Source organism: Homo sapiens, chromosome 5 (assembly GCF_000001405.40).
Source record: "Homo sapiens chromosome 5, GRCh38.p14 Primary Assembly".
Lineage (NCBI taxonomy): Eukaryota > Metazoa > Chordata > Mammalia > Primates > Hominidae > Homo > Homo sapiens.
In genome coordinates this window covers 167,838,326-167,860,639 of record NC_000005.10, presented here as the reverse complement: position 1 = coordinate 167,860,639, position 22,314 = coordinate 167,838,326, and the positions used below count along the sequence as shown (strand labels likewise).

The window sequence follows — 22,314 nt, the reverse complement described above, 5'->3', positions numbered from 1 at the left end:
ACCATCCGATTTCTCAATCTTTTCCCCACCTTTCCCGCCTTTCTATTCCACAAAGCCGCCATTGTCATCCTGGCCCGTTCTCAATGAGCTGTTGGGCACACCTCCCAGAAGGGGTGGTGGCCGGGCAGAGGGGCTCCTCACTTCCCAGTAGGGGCGGCCGGGCAGAGGCGCCCCTCACCTCCCGGACGGGGCGGCTGGCCGGGCAGGGGGGCTGACCCCCCCCCACCTCCCTCCCGGACGGGGCGGCTGGCCGGGCGGGGGGCTGACCCCCCAACCTCCCTCCCGGACGGGGCGGCTGGCCGGGCAGAGGGGCTCCTCACTTCCCAGTAGGGGCGGCCGGGCAGAGGCGCCCCTCACCTCCCGGACGGGGCGGCTGGCCGGGCGGGGGGGCTGACCCCCCCCCACCTCCCTCCCGGACGGGGCGGCTGGCCGGGCGGGGGGCTGACCCCCCCACCTCCCTCCCGGACGGGGCGGCTGGCCGGGCAGAGGGGCTCCTCACTTCCCAGTAGGGGCGGCCAGGCAGAGGCGCCCCTCACCTCCCGGACGGGGCGGCTGGCCGGGCAGGGGGGCTGACCCCCCCCCACCTCCCTCCCGGACGGGGCGGCTGGCCGGGCAGGGGGGCCGACCCCCCCCACCTCCCTCCCGGACGGGGCGGCTGGCCGGGCGGGGGGCCGACCCCCCCACCTCCCTCCCGGACGGGGCGACTGGCCGGGCGGGGGGCCGACCCCCCCACCTCCCTCCCGGACGGGGCGGCTGGCCGGGCAGAGGGGCTCCTCACTTCCCAGTAGGGGCGGCCGGGCAGAGGCGCCCCTCACCTCCCAGACGGGGCGGCTGGCCGGGCGGAGGGCTGACCCCCCCACCTCCCTCCCGGACAGGGCGGCTGGCCGGGCGGGGGGCTGATCCCCCCACCTCCCTCCCGGACGGGGCGGCTGGCCGGGCAGAGGGGCTCCTCACTTCCCAGTAGGGGCGGCTGGGCAGAGGCACCCCTCACCTCCCAGACGGGGCGGCTGGCCGGGCGGAGGGCTGACCCCCCCACCTCCCTCCCGGACGGGGCGGCTGGCCAGGCGGGGGGCTGACCCCCCCACCTCCCTCCCGGACGGGGCGGCTGGCCGGGTGGGGGGGCTGACCCCCCCATCTCCCTCCCGGACGGGGTGGCTGGCCAGGCTGAGGGGCTCCTCACTTCCCAGTAGGGGCGGCCGGGCAGAGGCGCCCCTCACCTCCCGGACGGGGCGGCTGGCCGGGCGGGGGGCTGACCCCCCCCACCTCCCTCCCGGACGGGGTGGCTGCCGGGCGGAGACGCTCCTCACTTCCCAGATGGGGTGGCTGCCGGGCGGAGAGGCTCCTCACTTCTCAGACGGGGCAGCTGCCGGGCGGAGGGGCTCCTCACTTCTCAGACGGGGTGGTTGCCAGGCAGAGGGTCTCCTCACTTCTCAGACGGGGCGGCCGGGCAGAGACGCTCCTCACCTCCCAGACGGGGTCTCGGCCGGGCAGAGGCGCTCCTCACATCCCAGATGGGGCGGCGGGGCAGAGGCGCTCCCCACATCTCAGACGATGGGCGGCCGGGCAGAGACGCTCCTCACTTCCTAGATGTGATGGCGGCCGGGCGGAGACGCTCCTCACTTTCCAGACTGGGCAGCCAGGCAGAGGGGCTCCTCACATCCCAGACGATGGGCGGCCAGGCAGAGACACTCCTCACTTCCCAGACGGGGTGGCAGCCGGGCAGAGGCTGCAATCTCGGCACTTTGGGAGGCCAAGGCAGGCAGCTGCTCCTTGCCCTCGGGCCCCGCGGGGCCCGTCCGCTCCTCCAGCCGCTGCCTCCCGGGCGGCGCTCGCCGGCGCGGCGGCAAAGACTGAGACAGCTCCGCTGCCCGCTGAACTCCATCCTCCCGGCGGTCGGGCGGCGGCGGCTGCGGTCGGTCGCGGCAGCGGCTCTGCTTCATATCTGCAGCTGGTGCCCGCGGGCGTCAGCGCCGCGACTGTCCCGGCTCCGCACTGCCCCGGGCCGCAGCGCAGCCGCGCCAACCACCACCCGCGGCCACCATGGCCGGACGGGCTCCCTAAGCCACCGACCCCAGCCCGCGGCGCCTTCGAGCCTTCTCTTGACGTTGTTTTCAAATAATCATAGTTGCCAGGAAAGAAGCCACTACCAACCAGGGTAGAAATGCTGAAAGACTTAAAGTGAGTGAGGAGTTTGCATGTGAGGTGATACAATGATGTGCCATTTCAGACATGAACAAACATGTTCATGTGGGCAACTTGTAAAACCCATCATGGTAGAAGTGATGTGACAGAAATGTCAGCATTGGTTTGCACATGCAAAAATGCCCAGCTTCTTCCTCTTCTTATGAAGACTTGCAGACTTCCTCGTCTTATGAAGACATGGTACAGATGCAGAACAAAGGCTGTTGTGGCTCTTAGCTCACATTTTCTTCCCAGTCTCTGCAGTTCTGACATGCTAAATAAGCCTTAGAAGATGGGGCTCAGGTTGACCTGCTGTGTCTTGCTTTTGCTATGCTTCTGTTTAGAACTGCTTTCTAGTTGATAGCTCTGTCCCTGAGATTAGCAAAAGTCATAGAATGATCTAGATGAAGTCAAAGAAAGCTACGGAGAAAGTCCATTGAATGTTAGCTTTAGAGGGAACCTTAGATAATATCCCTGATCAACCACTTCACTTTGCTGATGAAAAAAATGTAATTCAGAAAGAGAATGCAGCTTTTTCTGGACCACACAGTAAGTTAGTGACCTGAGTCTAAGGCTCTATTTATTAGATAACACTCCTCTCCAGTACTTAAGTTTGGGGATGAGCAGAAAACCCAAAATTCAAATAAGGATGAAGAAAATCTGCCTTCATAGAAAATGATATAAATGGACTATAAATCTATAATTTTAATGCAGTATGTGTAAAATAATTACTCTGCTCCCCTCCCCCCTAATAAAACCAACCCACATATGACATTAGACTCTTATCTTCCAAACTATGGTCTTTGAAATATTGGGTTTTCTCAAGATAAAACATGTCCCAGGAAACAAGGGTTCCATGAACAAATAGTATATGCAGTATGAGATGGTATGGGAAGCATGTCCAGATCATAGGAAAGAGAGACCCAATGTACTGTAGGCCTGTATGAACACGTCTGAATTGGTTGGTGTATTCCATTCTAGGCTGACCTCTTAAGAGCCTAGTTGAGGCACTGAGCTGCCTAGGGGAAGAAATTCAGATTGATGTGTGTACTAGAAATAATTTAATACACTCGAGGCCCTGCAGTTCTTAACCCTGGAAGAGAGGTAAAGGACGTTGTAGCAATTCTCAAATAATTTAGCCATGTCCTATGAAAAACAGAATGGACATTTATAAGCTGGTTTGGAAAAAGAGCGAAATTCAAGCTGAATTTGGCTACGAAAAAGAGCCACATTCAGCTTGATAAATCTTGCATGTATCTATACCTCTCCTTTATACATGTTCCACTTGGTATCATGGCTTCTTTGGCATGTGCTGTATCATTCTTGCTAGAATGTAATCCACTCTGTAGTTCATTCAATGAACACATATGTATTGAATAACTACCACCTTTCAGGTTCTCTCCTAGGCCAGGGCATTGCTCTAGGTGGTTGCGGAATCTGCACTGTTTTAATCTTTCCATATCCCAAAGCTCCTAACAAAGTACATGTGCACAGAAAGTGATTAATAAATATTTGTTGACAAAAATGGATAAACATGTAAAGAGCTTTCTAACAACAGTTGTTGAACAACATCAGAATCAGCACCCTTGCAAAGTAACAAGCTCCTCATCCCAGAAATTATTTCAGCAGTCCTGAGCGGCTCTTGTCAGCAAGGCTGTAGACAATGTTTTGGCATTCAGTGGGAAGTAGGATTGTAGGCCCTTTAAATTCAGTTCCAGTCCTAAATCCCCATAATTTTGTGAACACTGCTCTCACAGCCCCGTGGGGAAAAGGAGACAGAAGATTATTTATGTCTCAAAAATAAGCAGTCTGCCCAGATATTCACCCTGCCCCACCAGAAGTCAGAGACACATTTGCTTTTCTGCATTCTGCATATCTGAAAAATTTCAGTTCCCAGCTGAAAATCGAGATCCATATAGATTCATGCATCCTTAGAGGACTTAACTTTATTTAAAGGAAACATGTCACTGTGTTGAAGCTTAAGCTCAAATTAATTATAACAAGTGTAATATTTGGCCAACCCTAGTTTCATGATTCAACATTCCTGCTTGATGGGTTTCCAGAGCTAAATGAGTCTATAACCATTCCCAACATAATAACCCATTTTGCTTTTACAACTGCTTTCATCTGTGGATCTCAAAGCGTGGTGCAAACAGTAATTAATGTTTGCTTGGGAGGTAAGGATGCATTTCCTCAGCTCATTTGGCAAAGTGGGGGCAGGAGGGGTGACTGGTCAATGTCCAAGCAGAGACGGGAATGGTGGCCTCTGTGTTCCCACTTATTTCTCCTATGATCCCAGAAAACGGGTCACATTGTTTGTTTAAGCAAAGAGGTGGCATATGTGTACCAAACTAAAATAGTTTGTACCCAGCCTAAGTGAAGTCGAAATAAGTGACTGTGTGGAAGATAAAAGGACTAACAGGGAATTTCCATCAGAGTTCCTAGACCAGCCATGAAAAGAGATTCTTGAACAATCCCTCCCTTCTTCCCTCCCTTCCCTCCTTCCTCCATCCCTTCTTTCTTTCCTCCCTTCCTTCCTCCCTCCCTCATTCCCTCCCTCCCTCCCTCCTTCCCTTCCTTCCTCCCTTCCTTCCTCCCTCCCTCATTCCTTCCCTCCCTCCCTCTCTCCCTCCCTTCCTTCCTTCTTCCCTCCCTCCTTTCCTCCCTTCCTTCCTCCTTCCCTCATTCCCTCCCTCCCTTCCTTCCTTCTTTCCTTCTTCCCTCCCTCCCTCCCTTCTTTCCTTTCTCCTTCCCTTCCCTCCCACCCTCCCTCCTTCCTTCCTTCCTTCCTCTCTTTCTTCCTTCCTCCTTCCATATTTTTGACACATATTCTTCGAGTGTCTAGTACATATCAGGCTCTATTATATAAACTGGGGTTATGAAGTAAAAAGCAAACAGTCCTTTCCTTCTGGGAGCTTATATTCTGGAGGGTAGAGAAGGGGCAATCAACACATAAATAACGGCAAAAACAACAGCAAATTAAACATAAATAAATATATTTACAGACACATGTATACGAACATATATATATGTATGCATATAAGCATATGTAAACACAACATATGTGTGTGTGTTTTCAAGGGAAAAGTAGAGAAAGGTAAGGAGAGTAGGGAATGGCAGAGTAGAGGTCAAGAGGTGGGTGCCATTTAATATAAGGTCATCAGGGAAGACCTCCCAGTTAAGATAACATTTGAACGGGACCTGGTGGAAGTGAGAGAGGGAGCCATGCTGATGTCTAGGGGAAGCACAAGAAATAGCACCAACACAGGCTCTGAGCTGGCTGCACATTTGGTATATTCTAGGAACAGCAAGCAGGTGAGTGCACCTGGAGTGGAATGAGAGATGGAGAAGAGGGAGGCCTCAGAAGCCACTGCAAGGTCTTTGACTTTTACTCTGGGTGAGACGGAAAGCTGATAGAAGGTTCTGAGGGAGGAGTGACAAGATACTACATATGGTTTAGCAAAGCCACTTTTGTTATTGTGTTAAGAACAAACCCAAGGGATGCAGAAGCAGGGAGACCCATAAGAATAATCCATCCAGGTCAGGGATGAGTGGGGGTGAGTCTTGGATGAGGGTGATAGTGACAAAAGTGACAAAGATCAGAATCTGGATGCATTTTGAAGGTAATGGCAATATGTTTGACTGATGGGTTAATGTGGGTTTGAGAGAAAGGAACCCAAAATGGTTCATGAATATACATATTTAAAGGGGCATCCTTCCTACCGCATTTACATATATATGCAATGTGCTTGCTTTAACACATAGCATAAGATATACGACATAACTGGGTTGAAAACCATTCCAAATATTTGAAAATGATGCCAATTGTTGCTTAGAAAACTCTTCTCAGACAGATAGGCAAATTATGGTTGTGTTCACAATTTTACCTCCAGCAATAAAGAGGTACAAAAAGGGCTTTTAGATGTTTTGGAACAGAACTGACAAGGTAGGCAGCTCCTTTTAGCTGACTTAATGAGATTTAATAAAAATCTAAGCAGAGAGGGTTGAACTTTCACCTTCATCCAGGCAAGAAGACGCAGCACATATTTCAGAGTTAAAAGTGCTCAACATATACAGGGATAGAGATGGTCCAAAAAATAAGCCTTTTTTTCCCCCTACAAACTCATATTCACATGTGGTACAGAGTAGTAAATTAATTTTGGTCTTGTTCTCTGATTTCTCCTTTAGCTTGACCTGATTTTCTTGCAAGCCCCAGGCACAGTTAATTTAGGGAGGGGTAAGTGTATATATTACAGAATATGTTATTTGTGAGTATGTGAGTAGATGGAGATCTTTGCTGAAATATTAATACAGCATCTTTTTATCATTATTTATAGGAGAACTATATCTTCAGGGCTTTTAAAATAAAAAGAAATGGAAGATAGGTGATGTGAAATTATTTTTTGGTGTTCATACCCTTTGGTTGATATATAAATAATACAAATGAAATGGTAAACAGCACTAGGGGTACAATTACTGAATAAGTAGAAATGTAGATTCACAACAGTACAATGTTCCCAGTTGTTTTCATGATAGGGAAGCAGCTATTTATGTAAAGCTTAATAAGACTTTTTTTGTGGTCTTATTTGAATTTTGCTGTTGTTGAGTTATTTTATCACAAAACTGGAAGAAGTATTTGCATCTACAAAGTGGAAAATCTAAAACTTACATGGGAAATGTCCATGAATATACAACTTCAGTCTGCACAGAATAAGTGAAAAGCAAATTGCAATAGTCTATGGAATGAAATTGTTGCTTAATTGGTTCCGAGTGACCATTCTAGAAAGGCATGCCATATTAAGGGTGGAGAAATTACTTCAACCTTTCCAGTAAAATATGCCAAGTCTTGTAAAGAAACATAAACATTTGCCTTAAAATAGCAACAAAGGAAACATCGCCAGAAAATCACATTGCAGCCAATCCACTTGAAAGTATGTTATGAGTGAAATTTCCTCTTCTCAAACTGAGCCTCGATTAAAATGGATGTCTCACCCCTGTAAGCTCCCACGGGGTCACAGAACCTTATTTATTTAAATTAGCTGGTTGTCTCACGAGAGTTCTACCCATGGAGCGATTTGAAAACTCATTAGTGCCATGTTATTTTTAAATTCCACAGAACATTCTCAAATAGAGCCCGATCACTTTCTTTTTTTTTTTTTTTTTTTTTTTGAGACGGAGTCTCGCTCTGTCTCCCAGGCTGGAGTGCAGTGGGGCGATCTCGGCTCACTGCAAGCTCCACCTCCCGGGTTCACGCCATTCTCCTGCCTCAGCCTCCTGAGTAGCTGGAACTACAGGCGCCCGCCACCACGCCCGGCTAATTTTTTTTGTATTTTTTTAGTAGAGACGGGGTTTCACCGTGTTAGCCAGGATGGTCTCGATCTCCTGTCCTCCTGATGCGCCCGCCTCGGCCTCCCAAAGTGCTGGGATTACAGGAGTGAGCCACCGCGCCTGGCAGAGCCCGATCACTTTCTTAAGAACAAAAAATTGTGTCCCACTGAAGAGCCTCCTTTGTGATGGGATGCACACCAGTAAATCATAATACCAATAAACAGAGGTTTCCATCTTCCGACTTTCTTCTATCACTTTGTGGGTAACAAATTCAGCTCATAATGACACCCACTATTAAAATTGGACTCACATTAGGATGGCTGTATTCCTTTTTGTCTAATTCTGCAATTTCTTGAATTCTACGAGTACACACAACTTCAAATCCCATGTTAAAGAGAAATATAAAAGAGCCGATCATGCAGATTTGGTTCCTAGAAGACTCATACTCAGCTTATACAGTACATAGAGACACGAAAGCAAAAATACACCAATTACCATTAAGCCAAGATCTAAAGAGATCAATGCATGGGCTAACAATTGGGTGCTGTCAAATGTTAAAACTACTAAATTCTTGTCTTGTTAAATCATCTGATGGCCGTTTCTTCTTTAGTTAAATAGGGATAAATAATAAAAAACAATTTACAGCTAAAAGATGCTACCGTTTTGCAGCTGCTGAATGTCTTTTGGGGAGATTAGATTCCATAATGAGGAGATATAACCATCATTTTATAAAAGCTGTTGCTGTCTTGGGAAAAACACCACTGAAAACGATTAGAAAAAGCCTTTCCTTCATGAACCTATTACAGTCATGCGCTGATTGCTTGGCATATGCTTAATGATATCTTCATAGCTGAAAAACAATAATCGATTACTGTAAATCTTGACATAATATATTAAGTTCAATTGTGCTTTTATTAGTTCTACTTTTGACTTAAGTGGTTCAAGCTTGGAAAACCTTACAAACGTTGAAAAGCAAGTCAACTGCCTACAATTTTAACAAATATATATACACACATATTTCCCAATAGCTTAATTGGAAGCCTTTCTGAAATAATTTAAAAACCATTTCAAGCATCCTCTGCTACTGGTTCTCTATTGAGTTTATCAAAGATATGATAATGTGGGAGAGAATTAAGGAGTGTGACACATTTCATCTATAGTACAGACATAGGCAATAAAGAGCTGATATTATCTTTCTTCCTTTAAAAAAATTATAGGATAAATTAAGACAGTATCAATTGATATAACTCTAACAGTCTGAGGCATTCCTAAAAGAGACAATAATTCCTTGGCTACTTTATTTTTTACATGGGAGAAATGAAGGGAAGACGAAGGAACACAGCATTCCTATTTCCTTTTCTTCCTCCCCATCTTCCTCCCAAACAAGAGAGCTGCGGGAATCTCTGGCGGTCCTCAGCAGAAAAACCCAAGCAAGTCTTGGCTACAGGACTTCTTTTTTCTGTTGCTGTTTCCCACAAAGACAGGAATGTCCTCAATCAAAGCTTAAGCCCTGGAACTTTTTTATTCTTTATAGTCAAAAGTCTACCCTCGGGCTCTGGTATTGCTACATCCAAGGCCCAAACCAGAGGCTTTCAGGGAAAATTTTTATACCTTAAAACAAGAAGATGAATAACATCTAGAAAGGATATGGATAACAGCTCTTTCTCCCCTTACCAAATATTTCAATAGTGCATGAAACCGTGAAAAATCTTGCTTAAAATCCTTGGTGATTATGATAAATTTGGATATATAAATATACACTAAAATTATTCCTTGTAATCTGATTTTTTATAAAGTCAATGACTATGCACACAAGCATTAATCTAGCTTTTCTTGCAAGGCAAAAAACTCCATTGCAGGACTCAGAATTCATGAGTCAGAGGACAAACTGAGATAAAATTGGCTCTCTCTCACAGTTTATCCCCTCTGCCACCACCCCCAGATGATAACACACATCAACAACCCCCCAGTTAAGCTTCCACTTACTCCAATCAACATAATTTCCAAGTTGGGAAGTAAAAATCTCCAAGACGGCTGACACATTTCTTCATAAGTAGGTTTCAAGGCTTTGCTCTTTGCTGCTGGGTTCCTTGGAGAAATTTATCTCCTGGGATTAGGGCAATAATTAGTGATTCATGCACCCTAAGAGTGATAGTACTAGGTGGGAAAGATTACAGCTTCGTGAATGAACATGAGAAAATTCAGAGTTGTAATGATTTAGCATTTTTAATGCCAAACCTTATCTATGTCACACAAATCCCTGAATCCAGCACTACAGAGCTACTATTAACTCGTTGCAAGCTAATTGGGGAAAAAATGAAGCCAGCCCTTGGATACTGGTTGAGGGTCCAGGTTTCTTTCCTTCTTGTCACAGCCCAGGTGGTTTGGAGAGGAGCTTCCCTTAAAATATCAAGAAAGTATTAGCTTTGCAGCCCCCATCCTCCAGAGTAGTCCCCAGGAAGTTATTTACCAGCGTTTCCTGTTTCATATTTATTGCTTTGCTTACTCTCAGAAGCTGGGCTACATCATCTCTGGGGTAAATGTGGGAGAAAGAAAGGAATTTTCTCATTTAAAAATTTCTCATTTTAAATTTTGAACTCGGGAGGATTTAAATTTTGAACAATGTCTTCTCTCTCTGCCTTATATTCTAGTACAGTCCCGAGTCTGTTCTAGTACACCTAAGTCCTAGTGGAATCCCCTTCCTTAATGAATCCCCTAACTCCACTCTGCCACAGCCTCACAGGGCCTGTTAGAATGAAGGTTACAGAGTGGAGAGCTTCCTCTCTCAACCTGGCCTTGTGGTAGCTCAGAAAGTATGTGGTGTGCACAGTAATGGTCCCCAAATCATCCAGGTTCTAATTCCTGGACCCTGTGAACATGTTACTGTGATATTGTGAAATATCCTGGTTCCTGGCATACAATTCCTAAAATCCTTGGTATCTCTGGAGATATGAATGTCTTTTGTCTTCTAAAGTCTTTTGTCTTCTCATGAGACGACTGGTGGCTGGGGTCATCTTGATAGCTTTGGGATGTGGGGGCTGGTCACCAGAAGACCAAGGCATGATTAGAGTGTTGGGACTTTCAGCCCATCCTCCAGCGAGGAGAGAGGAGTTGAAGGTTGAGTTGATCACCCACGGACAATGATGCAATCAATCCTGCCTTTGCACTGAGGCCTCCATAAAAAACAAAACGAATAGGATTTGGGGAGCTTCTGGATAGCTCAATCTGTGGAAGTTCCTGGAGGGTGGCATACTTGGAGAGGCATGGAAGCTCCACACCCCTTCAATCTTACTTGCCGTATGCATCTCTTCTATCTGGCTGTTCATCTGTGTCCTTTGTAAAATTCTTTATAATAAATGGATAAATGTAGGTAAAAATGTAGGTAAAATATTTCCTTGAGTTCTGTGAATCCCTCTAGCAAATTAATAGAACCCAAGGAAGGGGTCATGGGTCCTCTGATTTATACCAGGTCATTTAGAAGCACAAGTCACAACATGGGACTTGTGATTAACATCTGAAGTGGGAGCAGTCTTGAGGGACTGGGCCCTTAACCTGTGGGATCTGATGCTACCTCCAGGTAGATAGTGTCAGAATTGAATTGAAGTAGTGGACACCCAGCTGGTGTCCACTGGAGAACTGATTGGTTGCTGGTGGGCAGAAACCCTTGAACATGATGGTAACCAGAAGTGAAGTGTTCTGTGTGTTGAGTGTGAGTGGAGAGAGAAAAAATGATTGGATTTTATTTTTTCATCAGAATAAAGTGTCAGAAGTGTGAGAGTGGGGAAAAACAATTTTTTTTCCTGTCTCTGGTAGTTGGTGCACATGGTAAAAAGGAATTTGCAGCTGTAATAAGTTAAAGATCTTGAGATAAGGAGATAAGAGGGGGCAGGAGGGTTAGCGGTCTAGGAGATATGACCACAGAAGCAGATGTTGGACTGATGTGAGGAAGGGGCTATGAACCAAAGAATGCAGGCAGCTTATAAAAGCTGGAAAAGGCAAGGAAGTAGATTCTCCCATGGTGTCCCCAGAAGAAATGCTGTCATGTTGACACCTTGATTTTATTCCATTGAGACTGCTTTTAGACTTCTCACTTAGAGAACTGTAAGATAGATCATCCATTTTCATTGTCTTAAACCACCAAGTCTGTGGTAATCTGTTACACCAGCAATAGGAAACTAACACAATATACAATGTGGCCAAAAAAACCCAAAAAACAAAAAGCAAACAAAAAACTAGCCTGCTTTAAGTGGTCCATCTAATCTAGTGTCAGGATCACCCGTAGCAGGGGGTTGGGAAAGGGGTAGAAGTGGGGAAGACGTTTAGCCTCCCAAATTTTTCATCAAGGAAACCAACCTCTCTGACAGTTTTTAAATCAACCATAAATGGAAATAACATTGATACTGTCAGCTCTGGAAAAAAGTCACCAGAGAGTGAACCAATGTCTCAACAACTACCCAAGGAGAAAAAGTGCTTAGAGCAGTAGCTTTTTAGCAATGACTGTCCGAGAAATCATTAAGAGGATGGCTCTACATAGTAGAAACATACAAGTCTATTCCTTGGTTCTAATGCTGCTCTCTGGAGCAGAGTTGGCCCTGTGGCAGCCCACTGGCCTCATTTGGCATATAGATATATGTGTGTGTATATATGAAGATATATACATACAAAATATATAATATGTTTTATATATATATATTTGCCAAAGCAGTAAAACAGTGTTTTTTTCTTTTAATTGAATTTTAGTGGCTTTGATTTACATATGCACTCTCCACTTTACCACAAACCCCACCATGCCCTCTTATTTCATTCATTCATATTGCCTAGCTGATCATTATGGACACTTGGGTTTTCAATTGAAGGGTAAGATCTATGGCAACTCTATTATGCATTCACTATTTAACACTTTGAAGAACTCTCATGACCTATTCAGTTCTCACGATCCACTCAGCTCTCATGACCTACTCAGCCATTCATTGTAGTCCACTGAAGTCTATTTCTCTACATGTTCCTAATGATGTACCACAGGGCTCTGTTATTGGGCATGCTCAGCAGGTATGTTGAGAAACACATAAGGAGAGAAACGGTCATCTTATCTGTAGGGAACATAAAGCTAGAAGAATGAACATATATTCTGGAAAATAATAAAGATCCAAATATGTCCAAATTACCCAAACTGAAATCTAAAGGGTAAGTGTAAAGTGTTGCACTTAGGTTAAAAGAAAAATAAAACTGTTAGTAGTAGATGGGAAAATATGACTGAACGGAAGCAAATATAAAAAAAGGCTTTGGAGTTTTATATCAGTATAATCTCTGCATGAGACACAGATTAATATGTTTGGCCCAAATAAACCACGAATAGAAGTCAAAGTTCTAATGAAAAGAAGCTGTACTTCTTCCAGTTTTGCTCTGAGATTTAGTCAGAACATACTCATAGATACAGAAACATTTCAAAATGAACATCTGTATTGAAGGTGTTCAGAAGTAAATGGGCAAATGGTGGAGATGCGCTAACTTTCAGTGAGGTGAAGGTATGAAGGAATCTAGGATTCTCAGGAGAACTGGAGACTTGGACAGACAGGGTCTTGTGTGTACAGGGGAAGGTTCAACTCAGGCTATGCAGTCCAGTCCTGTGCAAGGAGGTTGGCATTTGATTTGTTTATTTGCAGAGGGCATAACAGAGACCAAGGAATAGAAGTGATAGAAAAAATGAGTTTGGGTTAATAGAATAGTAGATTTTCTAGTGATTTGATCAGTACACAAATGAAATGGGCTTTCTTGTGTGGAAGTGAGTTCACTGTGGGTGGAGGCATTTAAGCAGATGTTAGATGGCCCTTAGAGAGGATGTTAGAAAAGACATTTATGTGGGATAAAGATAGGGTGAGGCTGGGCATGGCGGCTCATGCCTGTAATCCCAGCACTTTGGGAGTCTAAGGCAAGAGGATCGCTTAAGCCCAGGAGTTCAAGATCAACTTGGGCAACATAGTGAGACTCTATCTCTACAAAACATCTTTAAAAAGTAGCCAGGCATGGTGGTGCATACTCGTAGCCACTTGGGAAGCTGAGGTGGGAGGATGGCTTGAGCCCAGGAGGTTGAGACTGCAGTGAGCCTTGATCACACCACTACACTCCAGCCTGTGTGACAGAATGAGATCCCATTTCCAATCAATCAATCAATCAATCAATTGAAATGACTTCTGTGGTCCAATCCAAAAGGAAGATTCTCTGATGCTGTGCCCTTCCTGTCCTCAGGATAACGCACAACGATCTTTGGAATATGATTCTGCAGTTTCAATTCACACAACCTTCTTTCAGAGGAGGTAGAAGAGGGGAAGACAAGTTTATTTATGTGAACCAAAAGGTGCCACTTAAGGAGAATCCAAAGAGGCTTTCTTGTTCAATAAATTGGTCCTTGGTGAACCTCAGCCTTGGGAATGTTTATATACATATTTGGGGGTATTAATTTGTAAATCAAAGAAACCTAAAATATTCTAGCATTTAAATTTTTAATGTTATTGAAACATTGAAGCATTTTTCTCTGTGGCTTCATCTCAATCTTTTGGAAGATTCTTGGCATCACAGAAACAACACCTGAGCATTCTAAAAAAGACTCCCCAGCACTTCTAGGCTTCCTGGGGATAAACATTTTCTAGCAATCCGCATGCTGCTGATGGCCAGAGCTTCTCTTGCCTTCTCTTTTCTGATTCAGGATAATTCCGAAATGAAATGACTTGCCATTCAGGCACAGTGAATTCATGCAGATGGAGAAGAAATTTAGGATGGGAACTCTGGACTGAGCACTTTTCTAAGTTGTGTTGTAGTGTGTGTTTACTAACACTTCAAATTCATTCAACCAATATTCACTGGGGGCTGACTACGTGGCAGAAGCAGTGCCAGACACAAGGAAAGTGACATGGAACCAGACACAGTCTGTGTCCTTGAGGAATCCACACTTCAGTGAGGGAGATAGACATGTAAATAGGTGGCTGCATTGTCAACCTGGTAGCTACTATGAAAGGGACCTGCTTTCAGGGACATTGCAACCCAGAAGAGGGTGCAGTGAACTCTGCCTGGGGAAGGTGAGGTCAATGACAACTGGAGAGAGAAGGTGATTTTAGAGTTGGGCATTGCGAAGAAGATGGGGTGAAGGATGAGGCTGGAAGCAGCTGTTGAGTGACATCAAATGGATGAGAGAATGCTAAGTGGAAAGGTCACTGTAGGAGCAGTCGGGCCAGCTGTCCAGGTTCCTTTCCCTGCCTCCATCTAACAAGTTTAGTTGACTTTCTGATGCTTCTGTTTTCAATGTGAAATGGGGAAAATGGAGTCTCATGCACCTACTTTCCAGGGCTATTTTGAAGACAAAATGAGATAATCAGCGAAGAGTGTTTTTGAAAACAGGTTAAGAATGGTAAGTCTAGGCTAGGGATCACAAACCCTACAGCTCTAAAGCTTCCACAATATTCTGTCTATTTGTCTGTCTGTAGTTATGACACTGAATGCCTTCAGTGGGGTACATATTCCCCCCACTATTCCCATATTTTATTCCATATGCCAGCTGTTTTAAGCATCTATGTGACCTGCCCAACACTGGAACAAGTTAATGTTAAAGGGGTCTGTACAAAGTAATATGGAAATCATGAATATTTTTGAGTCTGGATCTTCCTCTTAGACAGTAGGAAAGTGATGCATTGTTCTGAGCTGCGACATTAATGAAGGTGATTAAGAACAGGTCTTGGAAGTTAAGATTTATTTTTCATACAGCCCATTTAAATGAAAATAAAGACCTTTCCATTCCTGCCCAAGCAAGACTGCAGTAATGGCCTGAAAAATTCAGAGAGAGAGAGTGGGGCCGTGTTGTGTGTGTGTGTGTGTGTGTGTGTGTGTGTGTGTGTGTGTGGCGCGGGAGGGGGGGACTCGGGGGAAGGGGTAATAATGATGGTGAGGGCTTCTACTTGTAAAACATTAAAACAAAAACGTCTGTGACAATGCTTTAATTTAAATTATACCCTAAATGAAAATGCATTTTTACCTAATTTGGAAAAAATGACAAACAAGACTGAACGTTGGCTTCTGGATGGGTCTCCTTGGCAGTCTGGTCCATAATACAGTGCATCTTACAGAGAGAGGTGTAAAGAGGTACCTGGGTGATAACAGACATTCACTAATTCAGCATAGAGGGAGAGAGGGAGGAGGATATTAGAGAAGTGTTAGGAGAAGACTAAAAGAGAAAGATAGAAATACTGAAGGGGCGAAGATAGAAAAGTCTACGAAGGATTTTTTTTTTTTTTTTGGCCACTACCAAACTCCTAAAATAAAATTTACATACCTGAAAACCCCCAAACTCAAACCTGCATTGAGATAAAGGCAATTAGATCCAGTACGGCAGAAGAGAATCATGGCAGACAGATGGAAGGAGAGCTTATGCACATGAGTTTGTCTGAAATCTATTGTTAAACGGAAAATGTCCACCAAGTAATTTGCTATATTTCAGTTGAAAATGCCATCTTATAGCAGGTGCACCACTTCCCCTTTTGTCCCCCAATTTAAAAGCCATTTACAAATGCATCCTGGTGATTCAGACCAAAGAATTACCAAACCCAATAACACAACAAGGCTGTGTAGGAAACTGAACTTTGTTTGCACAATTAGGAGACACTCACGTGCACATTCCATAAATGACAAGGTTCCTGCAGCAAATTAACAAGAACAATTTTCCCATCTCAAGAGCTGTCAAGATGGGCCCTGTTGGCCAATTTGTCTTACTCTAGCACATCTCTGGTGCTTGTCAATCAATATGTGAAACATTTGGTGCTGATTGCCATTTTTCTCTCCATTTCCTTTTGCCTCTTGTACCAGGCAATTTACTGCAAGTCAATCAAGGTCGAAGCCGACCTTGTTTAAATAAAACACTGTTGAGCTCTTTTCACATCAACGATTTCAAAGACAGAATGAGCTGTATCTTTTACATTTACATTTATACTACTTTTTTTTCCCACTGGTTCTCCTAAAATGCTATCCTTGAGTCATAAGTCATAACTAAAGCCACCTGGACACTGAGCAAACTAAGCTGTACAGGCAGTAAGGAAACATATACTTTCAATGTATATCTTCACTATAAAGATTAACTCAGCCAAAAGAGATGCCTCACCAGTGAAAGCATGCTTCTGACTGTTTTGCCTACCATTATCCAGCCTTAATTTGAAGTAGGGCCACACAGAAGAAACAATATACCCCAAATCATCAGAGCTTGATAACACAAAGTAGCAATTTCAAGTGTTTTCTCTGAAGATCATCTCCTATAGTTGAAAGAGAGTTTTAGAATACTTTGGTGATAGTCCCTATTGTTATAATGGGTCCAGCATAAACCTTTATCATCATTATTATTATATTCATGGAAAAGAAAAGTGGAGGAGAGGAAGCAGCTGAGCCTATTAAAGTACTTGAAAACAATCTGCTCACAGGTTTTGTTTTCAAACCTTCTTTTTCCTGCAAACCATCTATAATCTCTATTTTCCTGAATAAATCAGGCTCTATTTGTTTAGGAAAATATTATTTTGTACCCCCTCCCCCACCAACCCTACAAATATTAAGAATACAGAGTGAAATAAGTCCTGGTTAAATGTGACTCTCAAATAAACAAATACAGTTGGACAAGTATAGACTTTCTTGAAAATAGTAACAGACAGTTTAACTGCTAAGGTTGTGCTAAGCTCTCAAAATGATTAATTCGAAATGGATGCTTTTCAAGTGTCTACTATGTATATGTAAGACACAGTTTGGTGCTTTCAAAAGTGCGATTTCCCTCATTTAAATCTAAAACAAACACACAAGCAAACAAAAACGTCCTCAAATTCTCAGAGCAAGCATGATCCCTATCTTCTTATGCCAAATGTAATTTTATTGGGCTTAAACGTATTTCGAGTTAGCCCATGGTCTTATTGTGTTTCATCATTTGTCAGAAGTCACTACTGATGCAGTCACTCTTCCATTAAACAGTTATGTATTGAGTGTCTACTGTGCACTGGGCATTGAGGACACAATGGCAGGCAAAATTGTGGGAGTTTCACGGACCCTAGAGTTGGGTCATGGTACTAGATACCAATACAATCATCTCAAAAATCAAAGTGTTGTTGCGAATTGAGGTAAGTGCTATGTAGGAGGCATTTCATCGTGTCCTAAAACAGGCTGGTGAATGAGAAATGCTCCATGGGGATGCAAGCCTTCAGTTGAATTCTAACTGATAGGAGCCAACTGTGTTAGCCCAGCACGGCTAAGTGTGCGCCACTGGCCTCATCCAATCAGCGTTTGATGAGATAAATAAAGGAGATTAGAGCTAAGGGTTAGACACTTCTATAGTAGCTTGACACTGCCACAAGGAAGCAAAGCACTTGCTCAGTAGACTCAGCTCCTTGAGTGGTATAATGGCAACCTTGAATGGGGAGTCACATGGGGTGCAAACTCTACCTGGGTTTGTGCAGAAGAGCCATATATAAATGGTCTCTGAGGAACTGGGGGATAAAAGGGTTCTTTTTTTTTTTTTTTTTTTTTTTTTTTTTGACATGGAGTCTGGTCCATTTCCCAGTTCAATGGCATGATCTCGGCTGACTGCATCCTCCACCTTCCAGGCTCAAGCAATTCTCCTGCCTCAGCTTCCCAAGTAGCTGGGATCACAAGCATGTGCCACCATGCCTAGCTAATTTTTGTATTTTTAGTAGAGATAGTCTTTCACCAAGTTGGCCAGGCTGGTCTTGAACTCCTGACCTCAGGTGATCCAACCGCCTCAGCCTCCCAAAGTGCTGGGATTACAGGCATGAGCCACTGCACCTGGCCTAAAGTTTTTTTTGTTTTGTTTTGTTTTTTTGTTTTTGTTTTTGTTTTTAATCACAGGCAGCTTGTAAAGCTCTGCTCTGAGGAGACAAACAATATCATCCCACTATCTAGTGTCCATGAGGCCGAATGCTTCTTTTAGAGTACTACAGATGGCAATGACGCCAGCTTCTTGGTCTGAGATGGCAGCAAGATGTCTGGGCAGTAAGAGCAGTGAGCCTTAGGGCTATGGTTATGAGATGTGCTAGGATCACAGGGTTGAATTTGGTCAAAAAGAATTCACGGTTCTTTTGGCTATACAATGTGTAAAATACAAGTTAACTGCATGTATGTGTGTGTATATATAGAGAGAGACAAAAACATATAAATATACATACATATATACATATATGAATATACATATATAAAACATATTAATAAAAAGTTTTAAAAATGTAACAATCAAAAAAGACAAAGGCAAAAACAGAAGTGCAGGTAAAGGAACTGTTTCAGATAAAGGGGACGAAAGGGAAAAGATAACTAAATGCAATATGTGATCCTGAAATGAACCCTGGACTAGAAAAAAAGGTCTATGAAGGCTACTATTGGGGCAACTGATAAAAGTTGAATATAGACCAAGGACTAGACAATATAGGATATCAGCGCTAAATTTCTTGGTTTTGGTAATTTTACTGGGTTATGTAACAGAATGTCCTTCTTCTTAGGAAAGACACACTGAGTTGTCTGGAGGTAAAGAGGCACGATGTGCATGGGGATCTCACCCTTAATTAGTTAAAAAATAATATACACGCTTGTGTGGGGAAGCTGGGAGAGAATGATACTGCAAATGGCAAAGTGGCACATATATATACACAAGGGGTAAATCTGGGTAAAAGGCATAAGGGTGTTTTTTCCACCATTTATGTAATTTTGAAATTATATCAAAATGTTAAAGTTACAAAAATGAGAATGACGGCAGGGTGTGGTAGCTCATGCCTGTAATCCCAATACTTTGGGAAGCCAAGGCGGGCAGATCACCTGAGGTCAGGTTCGAGATCAGCCTGCTCCAACATGGTGAAACCCCATCACTACTAAAAATACAAAAAATTAGCTGGGCATGGTGGTGGGCGCCTGTAATCCCAGCTACTTGGGAGATTGAGGCAGGAGAATCACTTGAACCTGGGAGATGGAGGTTGCAGTGAGCTGAGATCATGCCACTGTACTCCATCCGGGTTGACAGAGCGAGACTCCCATCTCAAAAAAAAAAAATGAGGATGACAATTTTTACATAAAAATGACCTATTCTTCCAATGAATGGACAGCCTGCCTAGATGGCATGTGGTTGCTCCGACAAATTGGGTGTGTTGTGTGAAAAAAAGTGATGTTGCAAGGTCTCTGTCAGCAGCATTAAGAGTCACTGGCACAATTACCCCACAAACGGAGGGCTGGGAGTGCTGCACAGTTCCCTAGGCAGCTGTGATTTTCAACCCAGTCTGACATATTATTATAGACCACACATTGTTTTTTTGACATTAATTCATTTGTGATCTTTACTGCCACGCTGAGTATCTTATCTCGAGGTGGTCCTTAATGGTGCATGGTATATTTTATTGATGTTTCTTTTATTCTGGTGTTTTTCTTCCTCATGATTATGTCTGTTGTTGCTCCCTGTCTCCTTCAAAATGCTACTCTCTTGTGAGACTAGGCACTGCTTGGAGGTTTAATGAGGCTTCTAGACGGTTTGCTGATTTATCAGGTTCTCAGTTAACATTGTGGGGGGCTGGGGGAGGAAGGAGGGGAGACGCGGTTAGGTGCTCCAGGATGAACTTAGCGAATTCAGTTTGCATCGGGTTCATTTTTATGTCTGCAGAATTTGCCAAAGAGTGACATTCAGTTATAACAGGATCTGTATGGGAGAAATACATGTGTTCCTTGAATTTCTCCCATCATTTCTCTCTCATGATATTTTTTACAAGTATCATTATTAGATCCATGTGTCACACTGTAGAGTTGGATCCCAAAGCCATTTGTTTGCTTAGCATTAAAGTCAGGGGCCAAGCTCTGCTTTTTTGGCTCTGAAGTCTCTGTCAAAGTTAAAATTTTATTTCTCTATAATCAGACCCTCAGATCAAATGATTACTTGCTGCCACTTTTAGCCCTTCCTTATGGGCAAAGCATTTGCTGGGTTGGCCTTGAATAAGGAAAGTTTGGGTTGGGTGTGGTGGCTCACGCCTGTAATCCCAGCACTTTGGGAGGCCGAGGCGGGTGGATCACCTGAAGTCAGAAGTTTGAGACCAGCCTGGCTAACACGGTGAAACTCCGTCTCTACTAAAAATACAAAAAAATTTAGCAGGGCGTGGTGGCGCATGCCTGTAATCCCAGCTACTTGGGAGGCTGAAGCAGGAGAATTGCTTGAACCCGGGAGGCGGAGGTTGCAGTGAGCCAAGACCGTGCCACTGCACTCCAGCCTGTACAAAAAAAGCAAAATTCCATCTCAAAAAAGAGAGGAAAGCTTGTGAATTAGATAGGTAATTTAATTTTTTTCCTAACATTGGAAAATTTTCTGTCACTAAAAAATAAAACAAATAAGCAAAAACTGGTATTCCTTCCTTAGAGAAACTGCAAACACTGCATGTGCTCATTGCTAATAAGGGGTATATTTTCAATATCAATAGAAATTAGGTCATTATATTGGAAGACAGGGCATTACATTCACTTTACATTTTGGTCTCCATTCTTTAAACACATACATACATACACACACACACACACACACAGACACCTCACACTTTTTCATTTCTGAAATGACAGCCAGTTAAAAAAATCCATACATCAGGGCCTATCTAACCTCTTCGTTTTTTCTTTTCTAAAAGCTATGATGCCTTGGTTTTCGATGCTAACAAATGTCATATGACAGGTTCACCGATTTACTGTTCTGCACCCTTTTTAATTATGGATGTATGAAGGAAAATTTCACTGAGGAAAACAATAAATCATCAGTGAAATTATTTGTTCGTTGAATGAGCTGAATAAACAGTTGCCTTCGGGGCAAAGATTCATCTGGCATCTCTTAAGTCATCCCATATTTTTTCCTTTCTATTCTCATGAAAAGCAGGACTGGGCCTGTAAGAATCAACTGGGAATGTGGGTGTCATTGAGAAGCAGAGGAACCAGTAAACACCCGACTCACAGATGTCCTGAGTGTTAAACGAAAGGATTTTTGTCAAGTTTTAATCATAACAATGACAATACTTATCAACACTCATTGAGTGTGCTTTGTGTACCTGTGTCATTTCATTTGATTCTCACAACAACCCATTTCCCTATTCCTATTTCACTCAAAATAACACCCTAAACTAGAAAGCAGCAAGCCCAGAATTTGAACCAATTTCTGACTCCACGCCCTGCGGTCTCAGCCATCAGGTGCTTATAAATTTCCCCAAAGAAAGCCACACTTCCTCAAAGAAGTCCTCATTCATTATTTAAGCTTTAAAAAGAACAAACCCAAGTTCACGGTTGAAACCCCGATCTATAATTTTGCTTTAGACTTATAGAATCCTCTTTTTTCCTGTATAGGTGATGAAAAAAGCAGATTTTCCAGTGCCTCCTCTCAGAAAACCGAGCTTGATCAAAGTATGCAAAGTAGGCAAAGAATCGGCTGAGATAGGAATCACAGAAAAATGTGCTATCATATGAGTTTTTAGGAGGAGGTGAGGGAAATAAGAGTAATGAGATTATTAGTTTCAATTTGAAAGCATGGAATGTGTCAGCAATTATAACTAACTGTTGCTATTTTTATAATAAATGTCACCCTCAGAGTTCCAAGCAGACAGTAAGCAATGGAAGCTTCCATGTAGGAATCAGTTTAGTGTCCTTCTTTCATGTCCCTGTTGAACTAGTCCAAAAAGTTATGAAGAAACATGGCCACTTTGAACGCATTCATACAAATAGTACTGACAGTTTTCAAGCTAGGACAAATATCTCAGCTTTGGACTTCCTCCCACA

General features: G+C 43.6%; 1 protein-coding gene across 30 annotated transcripts in view, besides 1 other annotated feature; it reads right to left on the bottom strand.

Annotated features, from left to right (window-relative positions):
• The window catches only part of TENM2 (teneurin transmembrane protein 2), a 1,285,129-nt gene that overhangs the window by 403,518 nt on the left and 859,297 nt on the right, over positions 1-22,314 (bottom strand). The window lies entirely within an intron of this gene.
• Positions 663-1,230: an enhancer, noted in NCBI's record as "H3K27ac-H3K4me1 hESC enhancer chr5:167286415-167286982 (GRCh37/hg19 assembly coordinates)". NCBI's record gives its function as "activates a minimal SCP1, AML or CMV promoter by ChIP-STARR-seq in primed H9 embryonic stem cells {active_cell/tissue: H9 hESC(primed)}" and the evidence as "EXISTENCE:reporter gene assay evidence [ECO:0000049][PMID:30033119]".